A 16,508-nucleotide genomic window follows, 5' to 3' on the forward strand; every position below is an offset into this window, starting at 1 on the left:
GTAAAATAAAGCCATTTAGAGTTACGTTTAAAGTATATCCTGCCCAAATACTAACCTACTGGTTTCAGTTATAGACATGAAAAAATAGTTTTCCACAAGTATTCTTCATTGTCTTTGTCATTGAAAAAGAGTTAAACTCTGTAAAATATTTGAAGAGATTTATTCTCAAGCAAATATGAGGACCATGGCCCATGACAGAGCCCCAGAGGATCCTGAGAACATGTGCCCAAGGTGGTCAGGGTACATCTTGGTTTTATACATTTTAGGGAGACATAAGACATCAGTCAATACATGTAAGATGTGCATGGGTTTGGTCTAACTTGGAATGAGGTGGTGGAGGCCCCAAGGGGGTGGAGGGGCAGGGAGCTTCCAGGTCATAGGTGGATTCAAAGACTTTCTGATTGGCAATTGGTGTTTATCTAAAGACCTGGAATCAATAGAAGGGAGTGTCTGGGTGAAAAAAAAAAAAGGCAGAGGGGTGGGGTTGCAGAGACCAAGGTTCTTATTATGCAGATGAAGCCTCCAGGTGGCAGGCTTCAGAGGCAATAGATTGTAAATGTTTCTTATTAGACTTTAAAAGGTACCATACACTTAGTTAATTCTCTCCTGGATCAGGAAAAAGACATGGAAAATGAAGAAGATTCTCTGTGGAATGTAGATTTTCCCCACAGGAGATAGCTTTGCAGGGCCATTTCAAAGTAGGTCAAAGAAATACATTTTGGAGTAAAATACTTTGATTTTATTCAAGATCTGCTCTCTGTCATGTTGGTATCTTATTGCTGGAAAGAGTCTGTTTGGTCAGTCTTAAGGTGTCTGTGTTAATGTTAATGCTGGTCAGCTGTGCCTAAATTCCAAGCGGAGGGAGGTATAATGAGGCATATCCTACCATCTATTCCCATCATGGCCTAAACTAGTACTTCAGGTTTACTTTAAAATGCCATTGGCTGAGGAGAGGGCCAAAGGCATTTAAAGGCAGCTGGTTGGGAAGCTTAGAATTTTATTTTTGGTTTACACCTTTTTGTTTTGTCCTTAAAAATTCAGAGGCTACTACTATGAGTGCTATTCATGGAATTCAGACAGAAGCAAATCTCGTTACAGCAAAACTCTGCAAAGGATGATGCATTCCTGGGTTTTCTCCATTCTGAGCACCAGCCTTGACCAAATCGTTGGGTGGTGTTCATCCAGTTTTTGTAACAGAATAGCTATACATTAAAGAGTATAGGAATTATTTTAAAATATTAGAATTATTTATTAAAGAATATTGGAATACCAACATAAAATTTATTGAAAAGGATTGATTGCACACTGTGAGATAAAGGTATTATTATCTTTAAAGCAAAATTAGGAATGCTTCTGTTCTCAAGATATTGGAATATCAGGACACTCGTAAGTCTGGGTCTGTTTAGTAAATGCTACCAGTCTGTTCCTTTAACCATAAACGTCTAGAAGCTAGGAATGCCTAACTTTCTGAGAATGCAGCTAAGCAAGTCCCAGCCTCATTTTCCTAACCCTCAGTTAAGATGGAGTTGCTTTGGCTCGAACACCTCTGACAAAATCAGTCTCCCTGAAAATTCAGAGACTGGGGTTTTCGAAGCATAATTTGGTGGGTAGGGGTCAGAGGGTGAGGAGTGTTGATTGTTGGGTCGGAGATGAAATTATAGGGAGTCGAAGCTGTCCTCTTGCACTAAGTCAGTTCCTAGGTTGGAGCTGCAAGACCAGATGAGCCAGTTTATCAATCTGGGTGGCATCAGCTGATCCATGGAGTGCAGGGTCTGAAAAGTATCTCGAGTACCAATCTTAGGTTTTACAATAGTGATGTAACCTCTAGGAGCAATTGGGAAAGTTTAGAATCTTGCAGTCTCTAGCTGCATAACTCCTAAATCATAATTTCTAATGTTGTGACTAATTTGTTAGTTAGACTATCTTTAAAGGTAGTCTGGCTCCCAGGCAAGAAGGGGGTTTGTTTTGGGAAAGGGCTGCTGTCATCTTTGTTTCAAAATTAAACGATAAACTAAGTTCCTCCCAAGGTAGTTCAGCCTATGCCCAGGAATGAACAAGGACATTTTGGAGGTTAGAAGTAAGATGGACTCAGGTCAGATCTCTTTCACTATCGTAATTTTCTGTTATAATTTTTGCAAAGGCAGTTTCAATAGAGTCAATAACAGTTTACTATTAATACTTCTTTTTTTCTTTCTTTCTTTTTTTTTTTTTTTTTTTTTTTTTTTGAGACGAGTCTCCTGTTGCCCAGGCTGGAGTGCAGTGGTGCAATCTCCGCCCACTGCAAGCTCCGCCTCCCGGGCTCAAGCAATTCTCCTGTTTGAGTCTCCAGAGTAGTTGGGATTACAGGCGTGCGCCACCACACCTGGCTAATTTTTGTATTTTCAGTAGAGACAGGGTTTCACCATGTTGGCCTGGCTGGTCTCGAATTCCTGCCCTCTAGTGATTTGCCTGTCTCAGCCTCCTAAAGTTGCCAGGATTGCAGGCATGAGCCACCGCACCCAGCTGTTTAGTACTTATTATTTACTTTGTCAGTTCAGACAAAGTAAAATAAAAATTTAAGTAACTAAAGCACAATTCAGTAAATTTAAAAAGCCCTGGTACCTGTATGCATATTGTGAATAAAAATGCTAGATCGTAAACATGCTGAGGGCAATACCATTTCTAAGCTCATCCAAGTCAATCATGCTGCCTTATTTAACTTTGTAATTTTCACAGTGCTTAACTTAGTGTCTAGTACTATTTTATTTTCTGTTTTTTACATAATTCTTAGCTCAATACCCTACTATAGTGAGTATTGTACATATGGTGATAAAGAAGGAATAAATGAATGAGAAGATTAATTTGTCCTGAATGTCCAGCTATCACTGATCACATTTATACAGGTACATGGACATCACCAAAATATATTGAGTAGTGATGGTTTTTCATTTTAAAACACCACAGATTCATTTAGGAAAGCCCCTCAATCTCATTGAAATTGAAGTTTTGCATCCCTGTAATGACCGTGGTAATCTAGAGTTTAATTCTCTGGCCCAGGGGTGGAGTGGGCAGGGTTGCACTGACCCCAAAGTCCCCTGTTTACCTGTGGGTACCTAAGGGGAGGGGTGAAAGGAGGAGGAACTACCCTCCACTTTGCTGTGTGAAGGAGCTTTTTGCTTGTCTCTGGGACCAGTAATAAAACAAAACAAAGCATCATTTTTTTATGTCTTTCTTGATGTATGAGAGAATTTTCATTTATGAAATACACATATAAAAGAAGAAAATATGCCAGAAATTATTCTTTCTCCAGGGTATGTGTCTTTAGCAACATAGAATAGTAAATTGTGATTCTACCATCAGTTCATATTTCCTATATTGTGAATTTTTAACATCTTTATCATTTGCCTTTTAAACTTACTTGGGTTTAGAGTATGGTTAAAAAAAAAAAAAAATCCTAAAGCCCAGACCAAGTTTGTTATTTTTTCCCTTACTCTTCATTTAGCTGCTGAGTATTATCACATGTGATAGATCATAACTCGTCATTCATCCCCTGTGACATTAGGGGGAACCCTGTAGGGCTTACTACTGAGGTCATAACTTGCCCAAACATGTATAGGTTGTATGCCTAAACTAGTCCAGCAAAGCTCCTTGGGTGCATATAGCATAATAAAGCTTTTTCTGGAATAAGTAGTTAAGAATTATTTCAATCTTAAAATATTTTTCCCAAGGAATAGAAAAAAGACAGCACACCTTACAGACAATTCATTATATGGTAAGAAACTACACAACATCAGTATGAGAAAGAAAAATTTCAGACCAATTGCACTCATGGATACAGAAGTTAAATTGCCAGACAAAATACTAGCAAACTGAATCCAACTAGGATCAAATTGGATTCATCTTTAGAACACAAGAATAATTTAATGTTAGAAAACCTATAAATGTATTTCACCATAACAATAGACAAAAATGTTAAAAAATCTGATTTTTAGATTTTTAGGTTAAAAGCCTTTGTTTAATAATCGTCTTATTTGATGCAGGAAAAAAATAATAAAATTCAACAACTAATTATAATTAAACTTTCTCAGAAACTAGGACAAGAACATATTTCTTTAAACTGAGAAAGGACCTCTACCTATAACAAACATTATTCTTAGTAGTAAGACATTAGAAATATTTCCTTTAAAATCAACAGCAAGACAAAAATGCCCACTAGTGCTGATTTTGTTTTGAGGTATTGAATGATGCAAGAACACAAAATAAATAATGATGGCGATTGAAAAGAAACTGTTTTCTTGTAGATGGCATGATTGTCTACATAGAAAACTGCCCTCTCCCCACAAAAACATAGCACTTACCACTTTATTAGAATCTAAACACATAAGTTACTAAAGAAAAATACATATGATGAAAATAAACCAGACAATTGTGGAAAAATCTTATAAGTCATTGAACATTTTTATAGAGGAATTAATTAAGTGGATATATACTATATTCATGGATAGGAAAATTAAAAATCATGCATTATCAATTCTCTACAAATTGATCAAGGAAAATGTAATCCAGATCCATAGAGTACTTTCACAGGAATGTGACAAATTGATTCTAAAATGTATATGGAAGGGAAATGGGGGCAAAAAAGCAAGTATTGCCAAAACTCTCCTGGAGAAGCAAATGAGGTGGCACATGCCCTGCTTGCTATCAAGCCCTAGTGACCAAGGAATTAAAATTGAGCAATATAGAGTAATATTTTTATGAACTTAGGGTAGAGAAGGATTTTTAAAATATAATAAAAATTGTTAGCCACAGACCGGGCATGGTGGCTCACGCCTGTAATCCCAGCACTTTGAGAGGCCAAGGCGGGCTGATCACCTGAGGTCAGGAGTTCGAGACCAGCCTGTCCAACATGGAGAAACCCCATCTCTACTAAAAATACAAAATTAGCTGGGTGTGGTGGCACATGCCTGTAATCCCAGCTACTCGGGAGGCTGAGGCAGAAGAATAGCTTGAACCTGGGAGGCAGAGGTTGCAGTGAGCTGAGATTGTACCATTGCACTCCAGCCTGGGTGATAAGAGCGAAATTGCATCTCAAAAAAAAAAAAAAAATTATTAGCCACAAAACGTTGATGAGTTCAACAGCATTAAAATTAAGAAGTTCTATTTATAAAAAAAAAAACTATAAAGATAATGGAAAAGCAAGTCATGAGCTGGAGTAAGATATTTGCCATATATATAAATAAGAAAGCATTAGAATTGCAAATAAATAAATATTTTTGACAAAAAATACTGAAAAGAAATATGCAAAAAAGACATGGATAGTCCTTGCCAGGCGCAGTGGCTTACGCCTATAATCTCAGCACTTTGGGAGGGTGAGGTGGGTGGATCACGAGGTCAGGAGATCGAGACCATCCTGGCCAACATGGTGAAACACTGTCTCTATTGAAAATACAAAAACTTAGCCGGGCGTGGTGGCGGGCACCTGTAGTCCCAGCTACTCGGGAGGCTGAGCCAGGAGAATGGCATGAACCCGGGAGGCAGAGCTTGCAGTGAGCCAAGATCGCGCCACTGCACTCCAGCCTGGGCAACAGAGCGAGACTCTGTCTCAAAAAAAAAAAAAAAAAAGACATGGATAGTCCTTTCACTGAAAAAATAAATAAATGGCTGGTAAACATATGAAAATATGCTAAACTACATTAGTAATCTGAGAAATTCAAATTTAAACTACAAAGTGACACCACTTTATATCCTCCGGATTGGCAAAAACTAAGAAGTCTGATAATACTGAGCACTGGAGGAGATTGGAAGCCATAAGATCTCCTACATACTGCCAGTAAGAGTGTGAATTGGTACACCATGTTAGAAAATAATCTGGCTTTATCTCATGAAGTTGAACATGTGACCTAGCCAATGCATTCCTGAGGGAATATATAGCCCAGAGATACTCTTGCACTGATGTGGTATATTCAAAGCATGGACTATTACTCAAAAGAAAAAATGAGTCATTGACAACTAAAAAGAGTTGTGGATACAGGCTCGTTGCTGAAGTTCAGGTAAGTATAATATCCTTTTTTACAGAGTTCAAAATACATAGGAAGACAGATTAGATAGATAGATAGATAGATAGATAGATAGATAGATAGATAGATAGATACACACAGATAAATGCATTCTCAGAAGACTGCTTTGCAATGGCAATAAAATCATAAATATGAATCAGGATGGTAGTTACTTCTAATGGGGGAAAAAGTAAGAAGAGCAAAGGTAAACATATAAGAAGACTTTGTTCTATCCAGTACTTCAATGGCAAAAACAAACAACAATGATAGTAGAAGGTCTTTTATAATTCTTCTCTGTGCCTCTCTCCTTTCCTTTTTGACTGGATGTTTCAAAGCTGTTTGTCTCAAAAAAATAATAGGAGATGGAGAAAGGGAACTGTGGGCCAGCATTCAACAAATGTTATCTCATTTACTCTTCACAAGAACCAGTAAGCTACATATTACTTTACTTACTGCAAAGATACAAAAACTAAAGCCAAAAACGAATAATTATCTGCACAATGTCTTACAGCTATAAAAGCTGAGGTTTGAATTCACATCAGTATTATAAAAGTCCACTTTTGTAACAAGTGATATAATTATGTCATGTGATATGTGGTTATTATCCTTTAAAACCAAAGGACATTTTTTCCCTAGAAAAAGGAAGCATTTCAGTTTGCACTTAGCAAGAAACTCAATTCTTTATGAAACATAGTATGAGGCTAAATGCTCTAAAATTTAAGTGAGGGTTATCCACATATCAGAAGAGACTGAGATACTGTCTAATATACATTTGTCCTGCACAGGTTTTGAGTGATAAAAATAAACAAAAATTACCACCAGAATTAAATTTAAAGGTTAAAAACTGGTCTCCAAATCATTGCAAACAATCCCTTTTAAGTTATAAGAAATAGGAAGATTTTTACATCTATTGTGAAAATGGATTTTAAAATAGTTCCAATGTGTATGGGCCCATAGGCCTTGTTTTTCCTTATGATATAAACTTTCATACAGAACATTTCAGTGTTCAGTCACAAGGCACCTTTATAGCAAGCTATCATATTCTTTGAAGTAAGTATAAATTTGAACAAACAGTAGATAATGATTCTACAGTTTTGGAGATGTTGTTACATTTCTCCAAAAAAGAGCATTCCTCTCATCTGCTCAGAATCATTACTCGGCTTATGAAGAGCTGTTAGTGTTCTGTAGGAATTGTTCTCACATCTGAGACGCACACAAGAGCAGGCATTTGAAACACCTCCAAGGTTCAGATAGATATTTGTCTCGAAGGCCCACCCAGCAAAATTTTAGATCCTCAAATCAAATTCTAGAAGCAGTCTTTTTTTTTTTTTGTAAGATAGAAGGGCCTTTATTCTTTATTCTGGCATAAACGTCTGAAAAAAAGGATAGTCATGAATCCCTTGTTAGAGTTGGGTTTCTGTGAGCCATTCTCCAAGCAATCAGGTGCTCAGTTCTCATCATCTCTCAGTAATTACAGGAAATGGCAGTAATGCCTAAGGTACCTGTCAAAAGCATTGTTGTTTGCCGGGCCCTTAAGTAGTAAATGAAAGCTGATTCATTCATGGACCTGCGATGGATCTTTGTTCCTTTCCCATTCAGAATCTGCTCTTCCCACTTCACTCTGGATGTTTGCAGTTCATGCTGAGAGTAGCAATTCATTCTTGGCAAAGGCTCCCCTATGGCTTGGATTACACAGCTCTTGTGTAACTGAGCTCTGCACAGGAGCATGGCAGGTTGGGGTGGGGCGGGGGAAGTGAGTCGTACTGGTTTTCAGTCTGTGCCAGTTCTCTTAAAATTGATCTGCTTACCAAGGGGCTCCAAAAACTAAAATACCTCAGTTATTTTGTCTGGACTCTGAGAAGGATGTCTCTGCATAATGAATGATATGCTCTCTTCAGTCAATTTCTGATGAATCAGAAATGGACCTCAAGTCTTGCAAACCAACAACCTCTCCCCATCCCTTCTTAGAGCAAACCAGTGTTGACTCCCAGTGAAATAAATTTTTTTTAAAAATCCAAATCTGAGGCTCATATAAATGTAAGCTATTGTATAGATGTTTGCTTTTTTATAATCTTTACTCTTCCCTTTGCTTTGGTGACAAGGGCTCAGAAATAAAGTTAAACTTTTTACATATCTTCTGTTTTATGGGAGCTTTAAGGAAAGAGAAAAACTGGAAATTTCTCCTATGCATTTGTTTCACATATATATACTCCAAAAATTTTCTAGGATTCCATGTTTAGGCAATGGATTTTTTATGGGCACTAATCTGGAATTTTGTAAGAATAAGATTTCGTGATCTATTGCACTGTGATAACCATAGTTAAAAATAATATATTGTATGTTTCAAAATTGCTAACGAATAGATTTTTAATATTCTCACTGCAAAAACAATGAGAAATTGGTGAGGTGATAGATATGTCAATTAGGTTTACTGAATCTTTCTATAATGTATGCATAGATAAAAATATCACTTTGCATCCCCCATAAATATACATAATTATTATTTATCAATTAAAAATAAATAATTTTTTAAATGTATGATAGCATCGAAAACTACAGATTTCATTTTTTGGCCTGTGTAATCAAATGAATAGAATAAACAAATGATTAAGTGTAACGAATGTAAATGCTCTGAAAATGGGCAATTATATTCCACAAGGGAAAGGAAGCAAGTCAGTCTTTTTTGGACACTAAACATCTTATATAAATGCTGCAACGCCAATGAAAGTGAACATAAATATTTAATTTTCTTGAAATATAAAACAAATTTCAAAATGTTTAAAAGGATATAGCATTGTCTGTTCTAGCACCAACTAGGCTTCATGACTAAAGCCCACAGCTCCTGAGCCTGTAGTCATCAAGCCTGGCTCTAGAGGAAGTGGGGCAGGTCCCAGTGTGACTGAAATGGACTCCATAGACTCTCAAAGCTCTCCCACTGGGGCCTTCCCACTGAACTGCACACATTTTTGCTCTCAAACCCAGCCAGTTTGGTTTGAACTCCGACCACCTTCTAGGTCTTACTGTCTCCTTTTTCCCCAGAAGCTGAGCCCTCCATTCTCTTCCCCCAGTATCTGGTTCTAGCATTACCACTTACTGAGTAGGTGATCTTGAAATAGTTAATCTCCATTTTAATCTTTAATCATAATCTTTTAAATGAGGACATTAATATATAGGATTGTTATAAGGATTAAATCTAAAGTACTTAATACAGTGACTTGCATATAGCAGGCTCCACGTTCGTGGTAGATACTATGCTAATGGTTCAATGTGGCCAGACCTTTCCTTACCTGCAATCCATGTCCAATGATTATCTCTTTCAAGAGATACTTATTGTTCCTCCCATCTCCTCATTGGCTTATATGTTTTGAGAATCATTGCCAGCCAAGATTTGATTTGAGTGGCCTTGGAACACTAGAATTTGCAAGGCTGGCCGGCCAATGTGGAGCCCAGCCCTGCTGGTTGGAGTAGTCCTTCTGGAAGAGTCTTCTAGGTTTTTTCTTACTTTTATTGCCTGTCAACCTATGGATAAAACAATACAAAAATTATATAAGATAAGCCGACAATGTGTTTTATGAACCTGGGACACAGATGAATTATGTCAACCTAATCTCTAAAGAGGTGTGGTAAAATAGAAAAGGATAAAGCAACAATAATGACAGTCTTTGTCGCTAAGAAAGTCAATGAGACTGTCTCATTTTATGCTGTAAGGTCCCCACAGGCTTCATTTGCTCTCCTGAGCAGCCCCTCCCTTGAGAGCAGGGTGTGGCGGTTTCCTGGCCCACACACTGAAGGCCCTGGTTTGCACCCTGATGTTTCTGATGGTCAAAGCCAAGGTGATCATCACCTTAGGGCTCAGATGTCCTTGGGGGAACTTTGTGGTGCTCAGACTACACGTTGGTGACCCTCTTTGCATTGGCACTATCGTTCTTTGGCTGAGCTCAGGAAGTTCCCTCTCCCACCCCCATCGCTCTCTTCAGCAACCTCCCCAGTGCAGTGATGGGGAGGGAGACACAAGCTCTTCCAGGGTGCTCTAGTGCCACAGTGCCTCACTGGACTCGCTCGCTGTCTTACAGCCCCTTCTCCAGAGGGTCTCACCGGACAAGCTTTCCTCTGTCAGCTGGGATTTGGGTGACACCAATGGTTGGACACTGGCCCACTCCAGCCACCAACCCCAGCTGTCAGTTCATGAGGAAAGAGGAGGGTGAATCCACCTGTCTCACCAGAGGTAGGACTAGACACAGAGTAGATTCTCTACTCTATATTTGTTGAATTGGAATGAGTGAATTCTTCCTTACAACTAATCTGTCCCAGGAGACTGAGTCCATGGGCCCTGCATATTTCCTGTCCCAGAGAGTGCCCCCTGCCCACTTAGTAACCCTGAGATGTGGGTGCATCCTCTTCTCCACCTTCCCGTCCTTGCTTAAGACTTTTGTCCTGGTACTGTTAGTTGTAGCATGTGTAGTCTCTGTCTTCTCAGATGTTTTCTTAGATCATGTTTTTCAAACTCATTTAAACCATGACCCAGGGAAACAAAAATTTAATGAAATACTCACCTTTCCTGTGGGCGATGTTCTCTAATATTTCTGCATTCTGCTCTGCTCTACTTTTCTAGTCTATTTTATTCTGTCCTATTGCACTTTTAAAACACTGGCCACAGCTCACTGAATTGATTTTTAAACTCCTGAATAGGTCACTGTTCACAGTTTTAAAAAAATACTATATGAAGACCATATTCCAATAAAGCCACTGACATTCAGCCATGACATGCCACAGTCTCCTTAGTGAGGAAGCTTTTGTCCACCTCACAGTCTTCTCAGTTACTGAATCTAAAGTAGATCATTACTATGATTCTTTGTTAATTCCCTTCATAACATTAACAGCAATCCACACGTATTTTATTCATTTGTCTATGTCCTTATTTCTGCCTCTTCAAAATGAAAGATCCATAAAGGTAGAACTTTGTCTTATTCACGATTGTGTTCCCAGCACAAATTCTCTGGTACATCCATGTTGAATGATGGAATGAGTGAATGAAACCCTTACTACACATGTATATACAAGGAAGTTTGGTTCTCTGAGGACATTTTGATTCTCTGTCAATTTTGTGTAAATGATTATAGCTAATATATTTAAAGGAGGGGATTTTTTTTTTAAAGAATATAAGGTCATTCACACCACAGAAAGGGCAGGAGTCAGGCAGCTTCCAGAGTCAAAGTGGTAGATGTAGGGGACTATGTCATTAGGGCAACATCATGAGGTTGAGTTGGCTCCAGTCACTGTTCAGATTCCCAGAAAAGAGCATCTGACTGGCTGCTCTTTATCTCATGGCCCTCTCTTGTCCAGGAGAGGAAAGAGCACCTGACTGAGGTCAAGACTGCAAGCATGAGGAGGCAAAGTTAGGTCCTCAAAGAAAAACCCTGATGCTATCAGCACAGGTAAGGCTGCACAGGCAGAACCAATGGGTGTCAACTACGCATGTCTTTATGTCTGTCATTCTTGCAACAGTTAAATTATAGCCCGGGTCTGATGTTCGCATAACTGACATAAGATTTCTTAGTCTTCTAACCCTTCCCTTCTCCAGATCTATAGATGCCTCCCATGGAAGACCTCTCTAGTACTCTGGTTTTGTATTAGAATTATTCTGAATCTATTTATCCAAAAATTAGTTAATATCCTGTTTTGTGTTCAGTAATATATGGGACACTGTGGAAACTTACAAGATAAAAATGTGACTTCGTACCCTACTCCAGTTTACAGTCCACATGGAGTTCAGACATTTGACACTTTAAGAAAGTGATATAAAATAGGATTGTATCAAAATTTGTAAAGTAAATAATTGCATTTCTTTCATTCTGCATTTCTAGAAAGTAGCTAAAATTTTTCCAATGCATTTCTAGAAAGTAGTTGAAATTCCTCTAAATGTTTGGAGTAGTTATAATGAAAAATATGATTGCTCACCTTCACTGTAAACATCCTTAAACAACTGCTTGAGTTGTTAGTTGATTGAATATAGGGATAAAAGAAATAAAAATGTTTAGAGTGAAGGCTAGATTTTTGTCATGGGTACTTAAGCAGAAAGATATTGTTACCTTTCGCCGGAGGGCAACAGATTTTTGGGGCTGAAGAGAGATAGTTGGGTTTTGGACATGGTAGGATTAAGCTGAGTGATTCTTCACCAAACTTCTCTTTATTCTTTCTGCTAGTGAGCAGAAAGAATAGACCTAGTAGAAAGAATAGACTTGCTCACAAGCAGAAAAGAAAAGGAATCAGAGGAGAGAAAGACAGCTCTAAAATAAATTACTGCATTTGCAGAAAAATATTTAAACCTATTTGTCTTACATTTAGTGAGATGGAAAGAACATTGCATAACTAAATGTGCATAAATATATACATCTGCTTTTTCTACATTTTCTTTTTCCCTCCTCTCTCCCTTTTCATTTTTGCCTCCTTCCTCTAAGAATTATATTCTTTTATTCTGTCAGGTACTGATTATCCTATTTCTTTTTATTTCACACTGGTTCTCATTTTCCCTGAGATATTAAATTTCTACCTTTTAAAATTAGTTCCAATTAATCGAGTCCAGTTTAGCAAATCTTAGAATTAAGAATATGGATAATTGTCAAACAATATAGATAATTGCGGTTGTGTCTTGAAAGGAAGTTTACCTTTCATTGAAGCAATTTTAGAATTTGCAAACGGATATATTAAGATAGAAAATTAAATGATGTTTGGCTCTTGTGTAGTCTACAGAACAGACTCAATGATTTTGTCATAAGACTTAGTTCACTCTCAACTTTGTCACTTACTTTTAATTATTCTTGACTCTCCACAATTGACTGAAGCTATAAACTCCTTTAAAAATAGAACTTCCAAAAGTGTGCTGTATGGAACTTTAATTTCATGAGAATTTGATGTTCAATATTTCGGGATAAAAAAGAATGGCCTAATGAAGTACTGGGTTAAACAAATTTGGCAAATTTCATTTCTCAAGTGTGTTGAGGGTTACTGAGAGATGTGTTATGTAGAACTTCCTAAACTCATTTAACTTTACATTCTTTTTTCCTACAAAGAATCCTAAATGTTTATTATCCCATGGTAAACATTTTGGAAAATGCTAGATTATATTATCTAAATGTTGCTTTATGGCATTTCTTGTTCTATAGAAACATTGGTTTCAAATAATGGCATTTACTGTGCGTGATTTCAGAAGCACTAAAGGGGTTAAAAGACGTTAAGAATAAGAATTAGGTGTTTTCTGTTACTAATTAATGAACGATACATATGTTGATTTGGGTATATGGCATTGTGAATTAAGTAAAATAATTTTAAAGCTTATTAGTACATTATAAATACTTAGAATAAAACATAATATAAAACTTACATTCCCTGTGCTTTCCTTAAGCTATTCAAGTAAATACCTGTGTCTCACTTCGTATTTATGCAACATAACGTCACACAGTATGACTATGCATAATCCCGATTTTACAAACTTGAGTGACTCTTTTACTGCTTCATGTGGCTATTTTTAATTTTGGTAGGATATAATGTTTCAATTCACAATGTACATTTTTAAAAGATGATGACTAACTCTACAAGATAAACAGTTACTTACAGATAAATATATGCATTGTATGGCACAATTGTAATATTTAGAAATTACGCTTTAGGTGGGATAGATTATATAAAGAGTTAACATGGTGTTCTTTGCCTATTAGCCATTTTGCATTGCCCACAGTCTAAATGGGCTATATAATAGAATCATTGCTATCATTGACCCCATCATGGTGCTCAGCGACCAATGGTCCTATTAATGACATTCCATGCCTGGAAATATCTATGGAACCATTCTCCTCCTATGGAGACAGATGGTGGGTTTAACAGTGACCCACAAGGCCAGCCTAGTCGTCTGTTTTCATTTTAGTCATAATTCATCCAGAGCCAGATGCAGAACTATGCATGAAACCATCACATTCTTAGTGAATGCCCACATGAACGTATGCACATCAAGTTTGTTTGAATGCAATGAGTGGTTGTTTTGAATAAGATGACATTGCCCTGCATGGTGCTGACGATTGTTTCCTAGAGAATTTTAGAGACAGGCGCCAACCAGTGAGTGAAACTAGATACTCCACATAAAATGTACTATTATAATGTCTCAAGTGTTTTAGTTTGTTTGCTTTTGTTGAGTAGGAAAGTTTGTTTTGTTCTGTAAGAAGTGAAGAGTATAGGAGGCATTTGGTGACCAGATTTGGCCAGGATCATGAAGGCCAAAGTTTTAGGACCCTTGCCTCTGTCTGGCCCAGACAACACCGTCCCTGACCAGGGTGCCCACTTTGCATCCACAGCGACTGTGGTCCACATGAATGCCTGGGCCAAAATGATCAATGAGTCAGCATTTAAAAAGAAAAAATCCTTCAAAATGTGACCAAGAACCTCAAAGTCCATACTCTGATGAGCTAAGTCAATCATATCTTTAAATACAAAGATTAACAAAACAGAATTTATTTGAAGATTCATGAAAGGAAACAGGAAATGCCGGAAATGTGGTTTAATGAACTTCAAAATAAAAGCAAGAGTATAAATCTTTTCTCAGGTCTATAAGAATTGTGTGCATTAATTCATGGAGGAAAGAAAATGCACTCTCAGTAGGTGATTGAACATATAAATTAGGCTGAAGGAGAAACTTTGCTATGCGTGAAGTTAAAGGCATGGTAAAAGAGGTCTTTCACACTGCCTGTGACCTATGACATGATTGCTGACTCAGAGAACAAAGCATTTTTACACTCAATGTCCAGGAGAATGGTGGTGGGGCTGGAGGTAGGGACAAGACGTATCCATCCTGTTAAGTGAAAAAATCTATCTTCCCAACCCATTTTTTAGAAATCCCTCCGAGATTCCTCCTTCCTCCTTAGAACTCCTGAGGTCCAACAAGCCATCCAGTGTGACCTGTCCTACTTTCTAAACACCTCCCAACTCTACCTTTCCTCCTCATCCCCACTGTCACTAAACTAGTTCATGCCTTCATTGTTCTTGCCCAGACTGCTGAAATCACCTTCTAACAGATCTTACCCTCCCACCTTCCTTTAATACCTCTTGTTTGAAGAATCTTACCACTGACAGCAGAGTATCTTCCTCAAACACGAGTCTTATCCCATTATCCTGTTACCCAGGAGCCTTTACCAGCTATCCATCACTGTTGAGATGAAAGTCAGGAGCCTGAGCAAAATATGCGAGGACCTTGATCAGCTTGCCCTTCCTATCTGGCTGCTTCCCAAAAGGCACCCACAACCTGGCTCACTCTTACTTACCTGTGTACTCCCAGGCATGCTCTCATTCAAGAAGTCCTCTGGAATACTGCAACACCACCCCCACCCCCTTGTGTGTGGTGGCAACCCCCACCTTCTGCCAGTGCACCCTGAGCACAGAGTCCTCGTGGCGTTTAGCACATGCCATTGTGGCTGTTGGTTTTCTCATCTGCGTTGTTCCCTACCCTATGAGCAACTCTGCCATTTGGCAGGCCTCAACTAATTATAGATGTTATTATCATAGCTGAAAGATGTGATGATCCCACTACATTGTGCACAAAGACTCAAAAAGACTTGAAAATCTTTACTTAGTCAACAGATACAATTTCCAGATCATGGTTTCATTCTATAAAGAACCACTGAGGGACCAAGGCAGGCCCAAGACTGAGGGTGGTACCAACACTTGCTCACTACCCTCCCAATGACGTTGCTTGGTAAGAGTTGCCATTACTTTCTCAGATGAGGAGGAGGAGGTGCTCATCCAGCCTGAGGTTGAATCAATGCACCAACCAGTTGTGTCTGAGTCCAAGCCCAGGCGCTCTCCACTTCCATTCAAAGATAATCACTGTCTCTTCCTTAAAATGTGGCAGTAAAATTAATTGCTTGAACTAATAAGACTTGAAAGGGCCCTGGCTGAGCTGCCTGACTCATGGTTACATTGGGACAGTTGGGTGACACTTCTGCAGAGACAGCCTGAGACCAGGTGGAGACAGATAGAGGAAAGGGGTGCAAGTGCTGAGAGCACAGATCCGCCACAGCCACCCCTGTGTGAGTGGGACATTCAATGCAGCCCAGGGACTGCTCCCTGCTGTGCATGGGCATGACCAAGAATGTGCAGCTCAGGCTGTTCTATGAATCCATGGCTTTTGTTGGTTCTCTGTATGCCACATAATATCATTACCGTTTTTTGTTTTTTGTGTTTTTTTGAGATAGAGTCTTGCTATGTCATCCAGGACGGAGGGCAGTGGTGTGATCTTGGCTCACTGCAGCCTCTGCCTCCTGGGCTCCAGCAATTCTCCTGCCTCAGCCTCCAGAGAAGCTGGGATTACGGACACGCACCACCACGCCCAGCTAATTTTTGTATTTTTAGTAGAGACGGGGTTTCATCATGTTGGCCAGGCTGGTCTCAAACTCCTGACCTCAGTCCAGGTGATCCACCCACCTTGGC

General features: G+C 38.6%; 1 protein-coding gene across 1 annotated transcript in view, besides 1 other annotated feature; it reads left to right on the forward strand.

The window, feature by feature from the left end:
- XKR4 (XK related 4) overlaps positions 1-16,508 on the forward strand; it is a 440,027-nt gene that overhangs the window by 109,631 nt on the left and 313,888 nt on the right. The gene's annotated exons all lie outside the window — the stretch shown is intronic.
- Positions 711-1,005: a silencer, noted in NCBI's record as "tiled region #131; K562 Repressive non-DNase unmatched - State 24:Quies". NCBI's record gives its function as "represses a minimal TATA promoter and a strong SV40 promoter by Sharpr-MPRA in K562 cells {active_cell/tissue: K562}" and the evidence as "EXISTENCE:reporter gene assay evidence [ECO:0000049][PMID:27701403]".

This window comes from Homo sapiens, chromosome 8 (genome assembly GCF_000001405.40).
Source record: "Homo sapiens chromosome 8, GRCh38.p14 Primary Assembly".
In the NCBI taxonomy this organism is placed as follows: Eukaryota; Metazoa; Chordata; class Mammalia; order Primates; family Hominidae; genus Homo; species Homo sapiens.